This window comes from Homo sapiens, chromosome 6 (genome assembly GCF_000001405.40).
Source record: "Homo sapiens chromosome 6, GRCh38.p14 Primary Assembly".
In the NCBI taxonomy this organism is placed as follows: domain Eukaryota; kingdom Metazoa; phylum Chordata; class Mammalia; order Primates; family Hominidae; genus Homo; species Homo sapiens.
This window is the reverse complement of record NC_000006.12, coordinates 100378235-100398841: the sequence shown is the minus strand read 5'-3', so window position 1 is coordinate 100398841 and position 20607 is coordinate 100378235. Positions and strand designations below refer to the sequence as shown.

Below are 20607 nucleotides of genomic sequence, written 5' to 3'. Positions count from 1 at the left end.
GGCAGGTCCTCAAAGAATTCAAAATAGAATTATCATATGATGCAGCAATCCCATTTCTGGTAATATACCCTAAAGGATTAAAAACAGAGTCTCAAAGACATATTTGTACACCCATGTTCATCGTAGCTTCATAGTCAAAAGGTAGAAGCAACCCAAGTGTCATCAATGGGTGAATGGATAAACAAATCATGGTATATACAATAGAATACTCTCCAGTTTTAAAAAGGATGGAAATTTTGACATCTGTTTAAACATGGAAGAAACTTCAGAACATAATGCTAAGTGAAACAAACCAGTCACGAAGAGACAAATACTCTATGAATTTACTTATGTGAGGTACCTAAAATAGTCAAAGTAATAGAGACAGAAATTAGAATGGTGGTTGTTAAGGAACTGAAGGGAAGACGGAATGGGGAGTTATTGTTTAATGGGTACAGAGTTCAGTTTTGTAAAATGAAGAGTTCTGGAAATGAATGGTAGTGATGGTTGCATGGCACCATGAATGTACTTAATGCCACTGAACTGTATACTTAAAACTGGATAATAGTAAATTTTATGTTACTTGTATTTTTCCACATTGAAAAAGAAAGGAAACAATTAAAGAGGACTTGGAAGTGGAGGGAGGTAGCTGCTATAAATATTTGTGTGCAAGTTTTATATGAATATAGTTTTTATTCCTCTGGGATAAATTTCCAGGATTACATATAGTAATTGCACATTTAGTTTTTAAGAAGCTGCCAAACTGTTTTCTAGACTAGGTACACCATTTTATATTCCCATCAGCATTGTATGAGTGATCCAGTTTTCCTACATCTTTGCCAGCAATTGGTGTTGTCATTATTTTTTATTTTAGCCAGCCTGATAGGTGTATCGTGATATTTCATTGTGGTTTTAATTTGCATCTTCCTAGTCACTAATGATGTTGAACATCTTTTCATATGATTATTTGCCATCTGTATATCCTGCCCAGTGAAGTGCCACTTCATATCTTTCACCCTTTTTTGTTGTTCTTGTTGTTGATTTTTGGGAGTTCTGTATATATTCTAGAGGCTAGTCTTTTGTTGGATATGTAATTTGTAAATGCTTTATCCCTTCCTGTAGCTTGTCTTTTCATCCTCTTCACGGGGTCTTTTTTGGAGCAAAAGTTTTTAATTTTGATCTAGTTCAATTTATCTTTTTTTTTCTTTTATGGATTGTGTTTTTGTTGTCAAGTCTAAAAACTCCTTACCTAGTCCTAGATCTTGAAGATTTTCTTCTATGTTATTTTCTAAAAGCTTTATAATCTTAGGTTTTGCATTTAAGTCTGTGAACCTTTTGAGTTTTTTTTATATAAGCTGTGACACTCAGGTTGAGATTTATTTGATTTTTTGCCTATGAGTGTCCAATTACTCTAGCACCATTTGTTGAGAAGTTTATGTTTCCTTCACTGAATTGTCAAAAATCAGTTGAGCATATTTGAAGTTTGTCACATTTTCCGCCTCCAAGTAATGCTGATAGTATGGGTCATGTGTGACTTAATTTGTGCTTCTTAATGACCTTATAGGTCTTAAGGGCAGAATATGTGGACAGATCCAGATTACAGTGGTTGCCATTATCCTTCAAACTCAGAAGCCTCTAGAATATAATAATTCATTGACCAAAAGGCAGCATGTAATTCCTAATGAAATTGTGTCATAACGGGATACTTGGAGGGAAAATTGGCCTTATAGTAAAATTATAATTTACACAATAACTTTCTTTTTATAGTTATGACAATAAAAATTTGTAGACTTGGATTATTGTTCTCAATAATTATTTTCTTCCAATAACTGAGATGTAGGGACAGGCACAGGAATCAAACATTTCAAAACTAAAAAGGATACCAAATAGTTATTATATTATACAGAGTATTAGAGCTGAAAGACAAGTTAGATAAAGTCTAATCTAACCCACTACTGCATTTTTATGCAGCATTCATTCATTGCACCGCACACACTACATATATTGGCTGGCTGCCTTCCTCTCTTTCTGCCTTCTCTCTTTCCTCAAATATTTAATGAATACCTGAAATATTTTGGATCAAGTAATGCGGCTGTAGTGTCCTCAACAGAGTTTACATCAAGTGCAGTTCATTTTAAAGGGATGAACGTGGCTCAGAGTTTTGATGGTGCCCACTGGTGCAAATTTATAGGTCTTGAAAACAAAGGTTTACTGTGAGGCTTTTCCTCTGTATCTCCTAAGCAGTGTGAGGTCTTGGACTAACTGAACCACCCAACTTCTGCCTGCTTGAATATCTCAGGGCAATGCGCTTGGTATTCTTGTAGTTTCCTGCCTATTGACAAGAGGCTTATCCTTCAAATTCTTCTTTGGGTGCTCTTGAAATGTATACCTCCTGTATGCCCAGGTTGTCTCTTGTTGAATTTTCATTGTGATTGAAGGACAGAATGTTCTTCTCTGTTGCGCCAATAGCACTTTCCCATACACACTCAGGGAAAGCTTTTCCCCCTCTTAACAGGGCTCAAAAGTCTTGACTGGAGTACCTCAGAAATAGACCTGGTTTATACTTTTATAAAAACAAGCAGAATCTGGGCAACTCCTAGCTTGGAATAACACTGATGGTCTGAGTTTCTCTGAGGCAAGCACATGGATGGTACTCTCAAGGAACACATGTATAGCACTTGGATCCCCACTCAGTAAGGTGAGGAAGCGCCAGCCCTGCTTTGGTGAAAGTGAAGGCGATATCTTGTGAAAAGAGAGTCTGGGTTCACTGGAAGAAGAGGATGATGGCATGCGGAAGGCATGATGTAGGTACCGAGCCCCAGGATGCCTTGATGTCTCCTATTCTACAACCCTGCAGGGAGATAAGGTGGATTTTCTAATTTTTTTTCTTGATGGAATATGCTGATAGTCCATATGTGTAGGTGGAAAATAATTAAAGTAATAATTAGAAATGGCAAAGGAAAAATTTTGACCTGGAATTTGCACAGGACTCTGTTCTGAGCATGCTATATTGGCATACTTTGGAGGTTCCCCAGAGGAACCTGTGTAGTTCATCTCTCTGTCCCCAACAGCCCTCAGCTGAGTTGCCTCTTTTTACTGAAATGGGAAGACCCAGGATTCTTACTCCCACAGGGTGGGCCTAGTGGTGAGGGGAAAGTTTGTTTTGTCCTATGAAGTTCTCATCATGGGCGACAAGGGAACAGCAGTGGAGCCTAGGAATTTTTCTTCTTCCCTCCACAACACCACATGTGCCCACCCCTGTTTATTCTGGGGTAAGAAATAAAAGTCTAAAATGGACTTGTATTTTGGTTCCTGGGACTGTGAAACAGTTCCTGCCCCTTCACTGCAAATCTCCCTAATATTGGATCTTTTTTTCTCTCCTTTTTTCGTTAGCACTGTTTTATCTGAAATGTAAAATCATGGTTTCAAGTGCAGGCTTTGAGACCAGATAGACTGTGAGGTGGCTGTGTCATCTTATTAAAACTTGTAGTAATGTCCTTTCTTCCTGTATTAAATGGAGCTATATTATGTTCAGGTGGTTGTGAGGATTAAACGACAAAATGTATATGGAATGATTAAATGACAAAATGTATATGGAATGTATATGGAATATTGCCAGACACATAGTAAGCTCTCAATAAATGGCACCCATCATTATCATAGTAGGTAATCTCTTTACAATACCTAGAATTGTTTGGCATTAGGCAACCAAAAACTGGTAAAAATTATTGTTATATTACTGATTTTAGTGGCTTGTGAGGGCCTTCAAACTGAGCACACTTCCTAGGGAGATCTATCAAGCATTTTATGTTCTCTTTCAAAATCTGACCAAATAGTCTGGGAGTAGATAAGCCATTTAATTCCAACAAGGCACAGCAATGCCTGTGGCTTGTTATTTTCTGGTGACCCTATGCATATTTCAAGTTTTATCTTCTAAACAAGAGGCACATCCTAGTGAAGAGGCCCAACTCTTATATAGGATAAGACTTCTTAAGAGTTACATTGCAGTTGAATTAGGTAAGCGTTTATTAACTATTCTGCCATCTATCCAGCATGGCCCTCAGAGAGTTAACAGAGTTAACTTAATGAAGATTAAGTTTCAGGAGATTGGAGCCTTAAACCTTAGGTTTTTGTTTGTTTTAATTAAGAAAAAATGTAGGCTAGGTGTTGTGGCTCATACCTGTAATCTCAGCACTTTGAAAGGCTGAGGCGGGAGAATTGCTTGAACTCCAGAGTTCAAGACCAGCTTGGACAACAAAGTAAGACCCTGTCTCTACCAAAGAATTTAAAAATTAGCTGTGTATTGTTGCACACCTGTGATCTCACCTACTCAGGAGGCTGAGATGGGAGGATTGCTTGAGCCCAGGAGGTGGAGGCTGCAGTGAGCCATGATCACGCCACTGCACTCCAGCCTGGGGGACAGGGCCAGACCCTGTCAAAACCAAAAAATACGTGGAAAGCAAATAGAAATAAAATATGGAACTTACTTGGAATCTCTCTTTGGCAATACTGTTAGGGTAGACGAAGAACCTGGGTCTGAATCTTGGTTGTGTCACCTGCTAACACTGTGGCTTTGGGCAAATCACTTTCTCTCTCTGAGCGTTAGCTTCTCTATCCCTAAACTGGGGATACTAATAGCGCCATTAAGGGTTTACTGCAGGAGCTAAGTGGATAGTTCATATGAGGCACTTCATTCAGTGCCTAGTACTTCAGTCGATGGTTGCCATTATTATCTTTATCTCCTGCTTTCATCAACCAAAAGGATTTTCTTTGGAAGCATCATAATGAATTAAGTAATTCCAAGTTAGGTGTGCACAGCCATGATGCCAAAGCAACGGTTATTTTGACGACCTCAGGACAATGAGACCTTAAGGGTGCTTGTAGAGTAAATAAAGGCTGTTTTTTGTTTGTTTGTTTTCTCTTACTGATCGATTGATTTTTGAAATGGACTTTTCTCCCCTACTCGGTTTCAGTATTCGGGATTTCACACAGAAAGATCGGAATCTGATCATGACAGCCAGTGGGGCGGAAGTCCCTTGACCGACACGGCCTCTCCGCAGCTTCTGGACCCCGCCGATAGGCCTGGCTCCCAGCACGACGCATCGTGCGCCTACAGACAGTTTTCGGACCGCAGCTCTCTCTGCTATGGCTTTGCGCTTGACCACTCGAGGCTGGTGGAAGAGAGGCATTTCCATACCCAGGCCTGTGAAGGAGGCCGATGTGAGGCAGGCAGGTACTTCCTGGGAACGCCGCAGGCCGGGAGGGAGCCCTGGTGGGGCTCTCGCGCAGCCTTGCCCCTGACAAAGGCCTCCCCAGAAAGCAGAGAAGCCTATGAAAACAGCATGCCTCACATCGCTTCAGTCCACAGGATCCATGGTAAGAGCAGGTGAAAGGGTTCCCGAACTCCAAGCATTAGGCCCTGGGCAGGTTCATCACATTGTGACACTAGAGTGAATGACCAAATAGTTATCTTCTTTGATTTACAAATCAGAACCAATGGGATTAAAAACAAAGTTCACTCAGTTATTAATTTTGCTTGTATTTGCTAAATACATTTAGTTTTGACAAGTGAATAAAAATGATTCCTATATTAAACATCAGAAAGTATAGAAATTACATAGTTTATTATTGAATATGTCTATTGAATTTGTAGTGTGTACGCATTTACATTCCTCATACATTATTTTCTTTTGTATTTTCGTGCTTCAAATGTGGACTTGAATAGTCGGTAGGCTCATTTGGTCATAGCAGTGTTTCTCAATGAGGGCACTATTGATATGTTGGAGAGGGCCAGTCTTTGTTTTATGGACAGTCACACATATCTCAAATGTTTAACCTTTCTGGGCATTAAATGCCAGTAACTTCCCCTTTCCCCCATCATTATGACAACCCACAATGATGACCCCGTGAGTGAAGGATGAAGCAATATGTAGAATGCACTGGGATTTTCACCTTGGGATAATTACATGGCTTTATAAACACGTCGAAATGGACACCATAGCTAAAGCTTTGATTGTTGCTAATGCTTCCCTTTGTTCATTTCAAAGTAAACTGGTTAAGGAGAGCTCATTCCGTCCATCCCAAGCTTGGGTCCAGACCGGTCTTTGGAATCCTCCCTATTTCATTAAAAGTCAGTGACATTAGGATTGATCTGAAGGCCCCAATACTACTACTCTTGTCTTTAGAATGAGACATGTGCTAGACAATATTGTTTCCATTAATAAACCTTCCTGTCAGATACCACTCAGAAGCTGAGTAATTTTAATCTGTTTCTATTCTTGCTTTCTATTTTTCTGATTTTACTTTGAGTATCTCTAGTTTGGTAGACTGGTAATGGAAACCCAGAGCAAAGGGCAATCACTTGCCAAAGAATAGAGTTAAGTGAAAATCCTGGCTTAACCTACAGGATCTGGAAGAAAATATTAGAAATAAAACAAGAAGAAAAGATAAAAGGAAAGCAACGAATAGTGTGATCCAGGCTTTCTCTGCTGCATTAAGCAGTTTACAGCTTTCATATATTCCTACTTGTTTCTCTTCTCTCTTTTTATATTGACTTCAGACTGTTTTGAGAATAATTTGATTTATGGAATATACTTTGGATGCACTACTCCTCCATATTTTATCTCTTTCCTTGGCTCCAAACAGGTTGTTATTAAAATTATAAATATTGTCTAAAAAAATTTTTTTTGAGACAGAGTTTCGCTCTTGTCGCCTAGGCTGGAGTGCAATGGCGCGATCTCGGCTCACTGCAACCTCTGCCTCCCGGGTTCAAGCAATTCTCCTGTCTCAGCCTCCCAAGTAACTGGGATTATAGGGGCCTGCCACCACGCCCAGCTAATTTTTGTATTTTTTAGTAGAGACGGGGCTTCACAATGTTGGCCAGGCTGGTACTGAACTCCTGACCTCAGGTAATCCATCCACCTGGGCCTCCCAAAGTGCTGGGATTACAGGTGTGAGCCACCATGCCCGGCCTTATTCTTTACCTTACTTCAAAAACAATCTAAGGTAACTGAGTTACTATATGATTACCTGTAAAGCTGAGATGTTTACCCCTAAATTTGATAATATTTATGTTTTTATTTGGACAAGATTGTATCTATATCTATAATCTTCAGTTATATCCATCCATGCTTACATATATATCTATGTGAATAGATGTATATTTTTAACCTTCAAATACTCTAAAAATGAACATTAGAGCTTTATTGTAACCGTACTTAAGATATATTAGAGCTTTATTTTAACTCTACTTAAGATATATTTAGCAATACTAACATTTTAGGTTATTTATTTGGAAGTGAGAGAATAGTTCAGCCTGTATCATCATTTCCCTCAAATCCAATCAAAAACATTTTTCAAGCATCAATTTAACATGGCACTGCTCTACAGAATAACATAAACCAAATTCTATGCATCCTTCTCTTATTTCCAGTCAGACAGGTCTAATAACATATATCCATGGAGAAGTATAAACACACTTTACCATTTTGCTAATTGTCATTCACAATGAACAAGGTTTATCTTCTAAGAAACTTGTTATAAACTTGGTCTGCATTTAAAATTCACTGATTTTATATGAATCCAGTACAGAGAGTTGACACATAGAGTGTCATGTGTCACTCATGTGCTCACATCATGTGAGCCTGTTTCAAATATTGGTGCATATATTAAAAATGAAAGATATAAAGTTTATTTTAATAGGTAAAGGAAATATACTTATTTTGAGGGTGAATTCTGAGATCACTTACTTTTGACTTTTTCTAATTTTTAGGGCGAGGTCATTGGGATGAAGATAGTGTGGTCAGTTCTCCAGACCCTGGGTCGGCCAGTGAATCAGGTGACCGATATCGTACTGAGCAGTATCAAAGTAGCCCACATGAACCCAGCAAAATTGAAACTCTTATAAGAGCCACTCAGCAAATGATTAAAGAAGAAGAGAACAGATTACAGCTAAGGAAAGCCCCCTCAGACCAACTGGCTTCCATTAATGGGGCTGGGAAAAAACACTCCCTGTGTTTTGCAAACTACCAACAGCCCCCACCAACAGGTGAAGTCTGCCATGGCTCTGCTCTTGCCAACACTTCACCATGTGACCATATCCAGCAGAGAGAGGGAAAAATGTTGAGCCCCCATGAAAATGACTATGACAACAGTCCCACCGCACTATCTCGGATAAGTAGTCCCAATTCGGATCGCATTTCAAAATCCAGTTTGATCCTAGCTAAAGACTATCTGCATTCGGATATATCTCCTCATCAGACAGCAGGAGACCACCCTACTGTCTCTCCAAACTGCTTTGGCTCTCACCGGCAGTATTTTGACAAGCATGCTTACACATTAACTGGATATGCCCTGGAGCACTTATATGACAGCGAAACCATTAGAAACTATTCCTTGGGCTGTAATGGCTCACACTTTGATGTAACTTCCCATCTGAGGATGCAACCAGACCCAGCACAAGGACACAAGGGAACATCTGTTATAATAACCAACGGAAGCTGATGTTTTGCTGAAATATTTTGTTCTTTAAGGATCTCTGAAACATATTTATAGTTTAATACCCCATTACCAGCATTTACTATGCCACAGATTGTTAGAGAGTATAACTTAAGTTACTGGGTATTTGATACGTGTTCCTATAAAATCAAAGAAAACATAGCACTAGCATTCAGGGTTATACACAGAAAAGGGAGCTAAATTGAATACACAAATTTCCCCTCTAATTATATGGGAACCAGAATAGATAAATTTTGACTTGAAAAATATTCATGTAGATCAAGTGTGCATATATACTACATGAGAGGACTGATGAATGACAACATTGCATTGTGACTATCCAGTGATCCTCAAACACACAAACTATTACTTACAAACTGCGGTATACATTTTACATATGGAAATATAGGCTATGTAATGTAAATACATCAAAAATGGGTAATTTTCTTTGACTCTGTCACACTAAACTTCTTAACGAAATTTCCATTCCCAAAATAACTGAGAAAGAGAGAGATACATCTTATAAACTGACTTCTTTGTGGTTTCAAATCAGCCAGCTCATTTGGTTCAGGCATAAATTAGAGAAATGGTTCTGGATATGGTGCAAAAATGAGTTTTCACCTGGTATCCATTATAAACAATCAGGAAGAGGTAATTTTTCACCTTGCTTTTCAGTTAGACAAGGACCAGGATTGCACTGACATGGCGCTGAGGGTTTTTCTAAGTAAGAACACTGAGATATTGGGACACACATCAAAAACCTGGAGTGCTCAATTGGAAGTAGTTCTATGAATATGGAAAGGCCAGAGGCAGAGTGAAATAAAATGCTATCTCAAAGTTTAACACAATTTAAGGGCTCAGCATAAGTAAACAACATATTTGGGGTTTGCTTGTAAAACCAACTAAATAAAAAATTCAAACCAATTCACCCAGAAAAAAGACCAATAGGTGCAAAAATAAAAGGAAAACCAGTGAAGTGCCACATGACAGCAGTGTTAAGTGTTTGAAAACGTTTCAAAGCACATATGTGCCAATGTGACAACATGTGGAAAGCCTCAGGAGAGAGTCTAAGATAAAAGCTTAGGCTGATAGACAAGTAGTTAAGAGCTAAGAGCAGTACTCTGAAGGAATAGGCAAAATGTTTATTTTCCTTATTGTTTGTAAACAACAAACTTGGTCTTACATCTGTGTGGTATAGTAGAAAGGCCAGCTGACTAGATCTCTGGATTCTAATTTTGGCCCTACCTGTAACTTAATTTTGTGACCACAGTTGTACCATTCACCGTGCCTGGGCTCTAGTTTCCTGGTTTGTAAGGCAGCCCCAGCGTTCATGTTCTGTGATAGAGCAGAACTGAACTTATTACCTAATTAACTCTCTGCTATGAGTTGTCAAGACTGATCATTCTGTTTTTTCTGTACACAGAAGTTTAGATGCTTTGTGACTTAAGCAGGTGTGTGGGCTCCTTTAGGCAGGTTACAGTTAACTTTCTAGATTTAGCCAAAATGTAGTTGGTAGAAATTTATGACAGAGAAGAAAAATAGCAAGATTTATTTAATGCTCTATTCTCTAGTAATTAAAGCAAAATGATATAAGTGATTAGAGAGATTTCATAGATAATATTTCCTAGGAGTCCCGTGCCCAAAACTCTTGCCATATTTAAGGAAGGGAATGTACTGGCAGAACTTGACTTACAATTTTGGAAACAGAACATGAAATTGAATACTCAGGGATTAGTAGTATATTTTCATCATTTAACACAGTTATTTCACAGTCCATAGGTAGGTGACAATCTGAACGATAATATGAAAGATGAGTACTGGGTTGTTTGTATATGAAAGGAGAGGCTACATAAAATTAAATAATGTTAACATTTGTGCTGTAAATGCAAAAAAGTGCAAGTAAGTGAGAAAGTTAGTGGTTATATATATTTTCAAAAAATTCAAAGTGCAGTTGACCCTTGAATAACATGGGTTTGAACTGTGCAGATTCACTTATGTGTGGTTTTTTTTCCAATCAAATGCAGATAAAAAACCCAGTATTTGGAGAAATGTGAAACCTGAGTATACAGAGGGCGATGTTTTGTATAAGTGAGCGCCACAGGGCCAACAGGCAGGACTTGAGTATGTGAGAATTTGATTATATGGGGGTAATCCTGGAACCAACTCCCTGTTTATACCAAGGGGTGACCATACAATAAAAACTAAGTTTTGAATTATACAAAAAAGAGTATTTAGTAATTTTGAGAAAATTATTTATGAGAAATCCTGGAATACATAAAATGGAGTTTTGATCAATTTGCAACATGAAGTAATGTCTTAAGAATGCTAAAGGTTTTGTAGAATTCTGTAGATTGATAGATGTTTGGAAGAAAAAATATTTGATGAATATGGTGTATTTTGGAAAGGTAATTTTCACAGATGGGTATTTCTGGTGGCTATATATTCTACCAAATGTGCCAGGGACAGAAGCTAAAAGAAATGGAAACTTAAGAACCAGGGAAAATGAACTGATATTAAAGAAAAGGCTGTCACTAAAGGAATTTCAGTGGAATTTTTATATGGAAGATAGTTAACTGGTGAGAAGAAGAAATTATGAATTTCACAGATGAGAGTAATCAGAAGGAATAATGCTCTTTAAAATGACATGACCAATATTTTTAAGAGAATACAGAATTAACTAAATTATATATTGATTCAAAATTTTGGTAGATTGACCCAGTTTTAAGTACATAACCATTTTAAAATTTACTGAATGTCAATAATTTTATAGTAGCAGTTTTATTACATTACATAAAATGTCATATTGACTCACTATATTGTATAGCTTACATTTTTTGCAATATGGCATGATTATCACAAAATGACCCAAGGTAAGTTAAGACATTTGATGACAATGTACTTTCTTAATATACATGTGAATGTGTTAAAATGTGTTTATAATCTACATTATTTTGTTCTGTGCAGCAACATATTTCCTCATAATGAAGATGTCATCTGTGTCTTTTAAAAATAGTATATAAAATAACTACGTTCCCGATAATTTAATCAGTTAAACTTAATATGGCTTTAGTTTTAATTCTTGATTTCCATAACTTTGCCAAATGTTGAGAAACATGAAACTTGATTGAAATAGATACAGAAGTATGATTTTCATATCACCTTGGGGATACATAAAAATGTGCTCTATCCAATTACTGGTATAATATGTATCAATTCATTAGATGATACATAGCTCATGGTTTTGTAGAATTCTGGTTTCTAGTGATAATAAGTATCTTTATTGCCCATTTCACCTGCCATACCTACTTTAAAAATTTGGATGACCAAAGAAGTGAATGAAGTTTCCCCAATCTTTCTTGGGAAAATTCTGTTTAAATTGTTATTGGGAATATATAGATTTGATGTGTTATTTTGGGATGTGTAATATTAATGTCACAATCACTACAGGTCAGATATTTAGGTGTGCTTCGGTCCACAAGTCTTTTGTCATATTGTGCTCGCTTACCTAAACTGTAATTGCCTGATAAAAGATAATATGACAGTGCTGAGGTGACATTCAAAATGAGACGGGATGCAATAAATGATTGCCTTCAGTATTTACACAGAAAAACCACTTGCTCTTTCTTGGTTATATTTCATAGGGCTAGATTGTTTCCATCGGGCACTATTCTTAATTCACTCTATACCGTGTTGTCACATGCTGCCTCTGGGCAGAGAATCCCACTTAAAATAAGCTTTAGGGGATCTTCTAGAAAAGGGTAGTGTGCTCCAATTTTTATTTCTCCTTCTTATGGGGGATGAGGATCAATTATAGTACAAGACCATTTGGAAAATATGCATATATATTTTAAAATGAAATACAAGATTTCCGCCCTCAAGATCTAAACCAAGTAAGTTTGATGGATGGCAGCACAGATAAAGAAATCTTCTGAATACACATTTGATTTTTATAGCTCTCTCTTTCAAGAGTAGGATATTACTAAGATATTCAGTGCAATCTATCAGTCCTAGTAGTATTTAGAAGTGACAGAGTGAATGCTGATATTTGGAAAATTGAGCATTTGACCATTTTGGGGTCACTCACCTGGCCTAGTGGAATAGCTTACACTTTAATACAATCAAACACAGTCTTTCTGATATAAAATGTTTGAATGCCCAGATTTGGTTCCCTAGTTCACTCAAATCATAGATGTTGACATACATCCTGTTTTCATAATGATTTTAAAAAGAATGTAAATCCTATGGTCCTCCAAATAAATGATTCAACGTTTATGTAAATGTCAAGTTTTTGTGAATAGGGATTTATGTCTAAGACAGAAAAATCTACTGAACTAGTTCTTACTGTGGAACTAATTGTGGATAAAACATTCGTTATCATCTAAATTTTAAATGAATGACAACAGTTATGGACACATGCAAAAGGTATCAGACATAGAAAATATTGTTGGGGGAAATTTCTGTGTGGTGCTAATTTCTTGTAAGGGTTGTACAGATAGTGCTTAACTCAAAAAGTGAGAGTGTGGTCATTGCCAAATAGGGGTTTGCTCAGAGTTCCTTCTCTAGGACTGTATGCAGAAAGCATACACACACACATACGCACACAGAAAAATATGATTTTTATATCATATTCATGAAAATGTGCCATATCCAATTATAACACACACACACACACACACACACACACACACACACACACATAAATAAATAAATGATGGTTCACATAAGAAATCCTAATTGCTAATTTTAAACCAAACATTTGTAGTTTTGTTTATTGCAACTTTGCTGCATGGGACTTTGCTTTCATAAATCTATATGGGGTTGGGGTTAATTTGCCCTAATTTGCTGACCTGGGACACATGTAATCACTGTTAAACTTACACCCGGTAACCCTGATGTGTTTACATTTCAAAAGAAATGAAATTGGCCTGGAAAAAAATTTTGGAAGTACTGTAAGTCTTTTTTCTTTTTTTTTCCGAAGGGAAATATTTCAAAAAAGGAAACATTATGAGTAGACACTTCAAAAAAGATAAAATATTTTACATTTGTTTTTTGACTAATGTGCTATAAAAAGGATTATATTTGTGAGAAAAGATACTGATCGCCAATATTTCAAATACCGTCTTGCAATGTATAGTTTTTAGTGACATTGTAGTATAAAGCTGTAATTTGAAATTTTACTTTGGAATGTAAAGTAGAAAATATTAGCTATGTCAATGATATCTTGCAAAGTGTTCCCATTTATAATTATTTATATTGTAAATAGCTTTCTGAAGTAAATTCGAAGTTAATGTGCATAAAATGTATTTATTATGTGAGGAATTTTTTGGTTTAAAATATAGTTACCAATATGCACTTTGAGTCTGGGTTATTCATTGAAAGAAAAATCTCTATAGGACAAAAAAGACTGTCAACTAAAAGAGTGCTATAAAGAAACAGGAACCATTTTAGCTCTAGATTCTATTGGAATGGGTAGCACTAAACACACACACACACACACACACACACACAAATATGCACACACACATACTGTAAGAGACCTGGGAATGGAAGCATATACATATGTACAGCAACTATTAAATAATGGGTCTGTTTTTTATTAGACACTGGAGAATGGTTTTTCAATGTTTCATTAGGACAACTTACGCAGGACTTCTTTGTTAAATAAAGCAGAAAATTTGAAAGTAAAGATTACATTTTTAATGCCTCAGTGAAAAGAAAACCTATAATATTGAGATTATTTAACTTGTTCTCATTTAAAAATACTCTCTGAATAATTTTTGTTTTGGAATCCAAAGTATTTTAAAAATTCAGAATGAAGAATTAAGGTCAAACAAAAATAGATTGCCAGGTAGCAATCTATTCTACCTGGCAATCTGTTTTTTTCTCTTTTAAGCATTTTCATAATGCCCAACATGCTTTTCTTTTTCTCCTCTGGGAATTTCTGATTTGCCCTGAAGTATTCAGAAATTGTCAACTATTGGCCAATTTAATGAACTACACAATATCTGTCTAATTCAATGGAAATATAGTTTGTATTTTTTATGAAGCTGAACAAAATATCAATATATCATTGTTACAGCATTTATCAGATATTTTCCAATATGATTCTTTGAAATACTTGTTTTAGGGCTTTTGCTTCTGCAAATATAATTGTTTTCACCTATTTCATTCTCCAAAATAACTGCACTTCCAATTTAATCCACAACTTTTATTGAATACCTATTATGTGTCCCAAATGGGATAGGCGCCAAGAATCTTTGTCATTGCAGGGTGTAATAAGAAAGTACATACAAGGGGTCTTTGATTTTCTCTATGTGCTTTGAAAGTGTAAATTCTTTAGATAATCATAAAAATAACAAGCATTTATTGAACTATCATGTGCTAGGCACTGAATCAAGCTCAGATCATCATAGAAGTCTGAATAAAGACCATCACAGAGGAAGATACCAATATGCTCCATTTGATTAATGAGGGAACTAAGACTCAAAGTCTCACTTGAGTAACTTAGTCACAAAGCTAGTAAGTGGTGAGATGAAATTTGAACTCAGGACGATTTACTCTAAAACTTTACCTAACTTCATTCTGCTTTCTTTATATATGTAATATAATATAATATTTCATATAATAAATCAGCCTGCTGGGATCAGTCTGTCTCTGGTTGCCATGGTAATCATTCAATCCACGGGTATTAGGAACTGAGGCAGCCTTCCAGGCCCACCCAGCCATCCTTTCTCAATTAACAAAATACATGTTTCATATATATATATGTATGTATATATGTATGCATGTATATATATGCATATATACATACATATATATATGTATGTATGTATATATGCATATGTGTGTGTGCATGTATATAAAGAAAGCAGAATGAAGTTAGATAAAGTTTTCTTTTACCTAACTTCATTCTGCTTTCTTTATATAGGCTGTTTCTTTCATATATATAGATATGTCTCCTTACATACATTTTTCTTTCCTGCTGAATGAGGGTTCTGATGTTTCTTTTATATGACCATGATACCAAGAAAAGTTTAGGGCACAATAAGCTCACAGGAAAGTTATCCTAAAAGTTTCCCCATAATATTTGACTTTTTTTGAGGCTTTCTCAATTAACAAAATGCAAATGGCTTCACTAGTAATTATCAACTGTATACATGTTTTACCTAACATTTTCAGGACATGAGCCAAAACAAACGTTTTACTTTTTCATCACAGTCATTAAATGCTTTGTTTTGTTTCATGGAAAATTTTCCTTCCTCTTTGGATAAAAACCAACCAAAACTCACTCAAGCAAGAGTCAATATGTGTCAGCAATGACTGCATTATTTAAAGGCCTGGTTTTGCTATTTCAACTACCACATTATGTATTTTCCTTATTTGAGGGGGAACTTGTTGTAAGTTATCTGACCGGAAGGCTGCCCTTCTAAATGCAGATGATTCCTGTAGGATGTCTTTAAGCAATGATGCGCACCTGCTGGAATCAGTCTGTCTCTGGCTGCGTTGGTAATTATGTAACCCATGGGTATCAGGAACTGAGGCAGCCTCTCAGGCCCACCCAGCCATCCACCGCCACTGGCCTCTCTGCCTTATAGTGTCAGGAGGGTCAGTTCTCTGTAATACTTCTTGGCCTTTTAATAATTATACTTTATAACTTAATATGTGCTGTATTTACTGGTGGAATTAGATCCAGGGTGGGAGAAATGTAAAACACCCCAGCTTTGGGAATTTGTAAATAATCTCTGCTTTATTCAGCTTCCCGCAGGTCAGGCTCCTGTGTGGGGAATAATTCCATATGGGAATCTTAGTTGAGTGCCATCTAACTAGATCTTAAAGGGAATCTTGGCAGTATCTTCCAAGCCATAAGGAAATAATTCTCAGTTTCTGATGAGGCTTTTCTGAGAACTTTGTTTATATATATATATCAACATCAAAAACCCAAACCAACCAAACAAAAAACACCTGAACCTGAGGAGCCCTTTGTGGATGAAGTCTCTAGGGTTCACTTGGAAATGGGTAATTGGGTTCTAACGTAAGAAGAAATCATCCAGGCAATAATTGAGGCTCATTATTCAGTGCATTTCTACATTTCTAATTTCCAATTTCAGCCCTTGTGTGAGTCACATGCCCCATTAGTTAGGCTAGACAGGGCTTGTCCATGGTAGCATGCTAAAACTATTTTTTAATTTAAAAGGTCACAGGCATGTTTTTAATTCACATTTGCAATTCTGTTACATAATTAAGCATTGTCGATAGCTAAGAAAAGTTTTTTCAGTGTGGGGAGTAAAAGAGATGATCGGGCTGGCTTTTACACTGCTTAAATATGCCTTCCAGGCTCACAGGTTCCTTGTTTAAATATACCCATGTCTGTTATCTAATTGACCTTGCTAGTTTCCTTACATAAAATTAATATATATATAAGAGATGCCTTGTAATGAATGACACAGAATATCTTGTTTTTGAAATTTATTTTTATTTCATGACACTGCTGTTCCTTCATGTAATGGAAATAAAATGGCTTAACAATTCTGCCACTCTTTCATGCCCACTTTAGTTGGTTTATGGCCAGGTTTCCTTCATTAGAGATATGTCATATTTCATTGCTCCAAATTTTTACTTTTTTCCCAAGCTCCCCTTACCCTGCAGACATCATGTCATTTTACTTCAGGGACCATCTCTAAATGATAAGGACTTAAAAATACATATATAACCATTATGCCACTTCATACCTACCAAACTTAACAATAACTTATTGTCATCCAATATGTGGCACTTTTTGAAAGGAGGCTATGATCAGGCATGAATTTGTTTCCTTCTGTTTCAAGGTCCTCATGCCTCCCTTTGGACTTTCTATCTTTGACGCTTCCACAGCTCTCTTTGTCTATTCACACTTCTCCCCCTTCTCTCATTTTTGACCCCTCTCAGCTTCTTCCCAGGATATTTAGGTACGCCAGTGTTCTTTTAATGCATACTACATACATGCATACACACACATGCACACACTCCCAGATGGGCCCAGTCTTCAGGCCACAGGCCTCATAGCTGCTCGCTTACTCTTGCTCAATCCTCACAGCAGCTGTTTTCCATTCCAAGAGCATCCTAAATCCGACTCTTAGGGGAAGACAGAATGCTTTATAGTCCTGTCTTCCTGAAATGTTTCAGTATCTCTTCCTAACACTTCAAAATGCGTCTGTATCTTCGCCCTTCTTTTCTGCCTGCTTATTTCATGAAACAAGTGATTTTCCTTTCCAAGAGTAACTCCTTTTCCTGTAATACTGATTTAGTGACACTGCTAATTGTTCCCTTCTTTTCTCTATTTACTGACTCCTTTGTTTCTGCTAGATATGCTTCAGTCTCTCAATTTAAAAAAAGCAAGAAGAAGAACAAAAATAAGGATAGCCATTTGGATACTATCCTCTCTCTTCCTATTACCAACAAAAAAGTTTATTTATTTATGTATTTAGATGACATGATACACTACTTACTTTCTATTTTACACACACTCCCAAACTTTAAGGTACAATTTTCCCCTTTTATCTTGTGGTTCCCTTATGCACAAGTCATCATCAGCTCTTCATTGTCTTTCATATAGCATCCTGACCCCTTTTCTTGCTATTTAAGATTTCCTCCAATCTAGTTTCCACTGCCATTTTCTTTCTTTCTTTTTCTGAGACAAGGTCTCATTCTGTCACCCAGGCTAGAGTGCAGTGGTGTGATCATGGCCCACTGCAGCCTTGACCTTCTGGGGTCAAGGCCTGTGCCACCACACATGGCCAATTTTTCTATTTTTTGTAGAGACAGGGTTTTGCCATGTTGCCCAGGCTGGTCTCAAACTCCTGAGCTCAAGCAATCTGCCCACCTCGGCCTCCCAAAGTGCTAGGATCACAAGTGTGAGCCATTGCACGTGGCTCTACTGCCATTTTCAAAATCATCTTCCACTACTCTCCTACATAATTAGTCTACACCCAACACACAGGTGTACTCGTTGTCCTATATCACATCATTTGTCTCTCAGAGGCTGGCAGTGTAGCCTGTGTGCATGTGCTTACATGCTAAATCAAACCTAGATTTGAATCTCAGCCCTGCTACTTACTAGTGATGCAACTTTGAACACTCTGGCTTGGTTCTTTCCTTGGTAAAATGGGGATGCAGAAGATTCATATCTCAAAAAACCCTTGTGAGCATTCAAGGAAGCAATGCTTGTGGCACCCTCAGTATACAGCAAGTGCTCAACAGATGTTAGCTATTAGTGTTAGGGGTCTCCAAGAATGCACTTCCCCTTCATTCATCCTTCGGTCAGTGCTTAACTGACATTTATCAAGTGCCTCCACGTACTGATTGACATTCGGCTAGTCCCAGGCCACTACAGAAAAAAATCTGTGTGGTCCCTGACACACAAGGCTCACAATTGAGGAAGGTGGTGAGGGATAATCTCAAATGCCCTTCAGTCCTTTCCACCTGCGTAGATGCTGCCCTTCCTGTGAAGCCTGCCTGTCGTGGCCCCCTCCTTGACTGACCCCTATGCACTGCCTTGGGTTGCACTTTCTTTCTGAACTCCAAATGTTCCTGGCCAGCTTGCCAGCTGTTTTCTTGTGCTCTCTAGTATGTTTGTGTGGGCTCTTTCATCAGCAGCAAGGCCTTCAATGCAGGGACCGTTCCCTGTGCCTTCTGTTACCTTCAGCCCTAGCCCCTATAACAGCACCTGACACAGGAGAGAAACATGATAAATATGCTGGGTGAGTGACTATGTGCTGCCTTGCAAATGGTCATGTATTTCAGATTATTTCATCTGATCTTCAGTCAGCATTACAAAACCTCCGGTGGCTTGTGCAACCCCAAATAATCTCTGGATTGTACAAACAGGATTACAGCTTTTTCATGTTTTCTTTCTTTTTGTTGTGGGGGCAGAGGGAGGATTGCAAGTTGTTTTCAACATTCTGATTTTAAAACCTGAACAGTAATCATTCCGAGTCTCATCTATGTTAATGATTTTTACTTACAACTTGCATTCTAAAGGAGATTATATATGAGACACATTGGCACAGTCTCTGGCTTATGGTGACTGAACACCATTGTGTTCCACCTCTTCTTCCCTCTCAAATCTACGTTTTCCCCTAATTTGCCCCCAAATCTCTTTCTGCATTTGTGATGCATATTCCATATTTCTAAATTGTATTCCATGACACAAATCCATTTTAAAAAACACTTTTCCCAAATCTTACTCCGTTACTGAGTGAGATACCACCACAAATTCAACTTCCTCCCTTTCTTCCTTCAAATTCCCCCCAGATTTCCTTTCTTCTGTTCTATACATCTTCCACACTGCCGACAGGGTCTTCTTCCCAAATAGTTTATGTCATTCATCTGCTTAGAAAGCCCTTTTATGTCCCTATAGCAGCTGAATGAAATTTAAATCCCTTAGCCTGTCACATTGGGTGCTTTACAACTGAGCCCTAAACTACCTCCTCAGCCTTATCTCCATCTGTCACCTTGGATACCCTAGGTTTTTGCTGTATTGAGTTTTTCACTCTTCATGCAATATGCCCTGGCTTTCACTATCCCATGCCTTGGCACACACTGTTCTCTGGCTGGAATGTTCCACAACCACTATTTATTGGGAAAATTCTTCACCCTTCAAGGCACATAGTTCTCACGTGATGTTTAGTTCTCGTTGGGAAAGTTTTATACTTCCTTTCTTGGCTCCCACAGTGCATGGTTCATATTTCTGTTATATATTTATTGAGTGTACCATGAGTTATAAGATTTAAAAAATTATAAAAATAAAGGACTAGTTAAAAATTGATGTAATACACAAATATGTACAGTAATAAAGAGATACATACAATTTTGCAACTTCTTTTTTTCATTCAACAATATATCATAGGCATCATTCTATATGAGTTCATATAGCTCTCAATTATCTTTATAGTATTTTATTGTATGGACTTGCTATAGTTTACTTATAGAAATCTGTCTTTTTGACAGACATCTACTTCTTTCCAATTTTTGTGTATTATTTTACATCATGTACATATATATACAATAAACATCTTTGCAAAATGGATTCCTAGAAGTAAAATTGCTGCTTCAAAGAGTATCTTCAATTTTGATAAGTATTATCAAGTTGCCCTT

At 37.1% G+C, this 20607-nt stretch overlaps 1 protein-coding gene and 1 long non-coding RNA gene across 3 annotated transcripts in view; one reads left to right on the top strand and one right to left on the bottom strand.

Moving 5' to 3' along the window:
* SIM1-AS1 (SIM1 antisense RNA 1) overlaps window positions 1-5356 on the bottom strand; it is a 51311-nt gene extending 45955 nt beyond the window's left edge. Inside the window, exon 1 of the long non-coding RNA NR_187148.1 lies at window positions 4467-5356. This is a non-coding gene — a long non-coding RNA (SIM1 antisense RNA 1). The remainder of the gene's footprint in view (window positions 1-4466) is intronic.
* The window catches only part of SIM1 (SIM bHLH transcription factor 1), a 79913-nt gene extending 66080 nt beyond the window's left edge, over window positions 1-13833 (top strand). For both annotated transcript variants that reach the window (NM_005068.3, NM_001374769.1), the window contains exons 11-12: window positions 4953-5355; window positions 7751-13833. In NM_005068.3, coding sequence (NP_005059.2) covers window positions 4953-5355; window positions 7751-8481 — 1134 coding nt within the window. In that variant the 3' untranslated portion in view covers window positions 8482-13833. The remainder of the gene's footprint in view (window positions 1-4952; window positions 5356-7750) is intronic.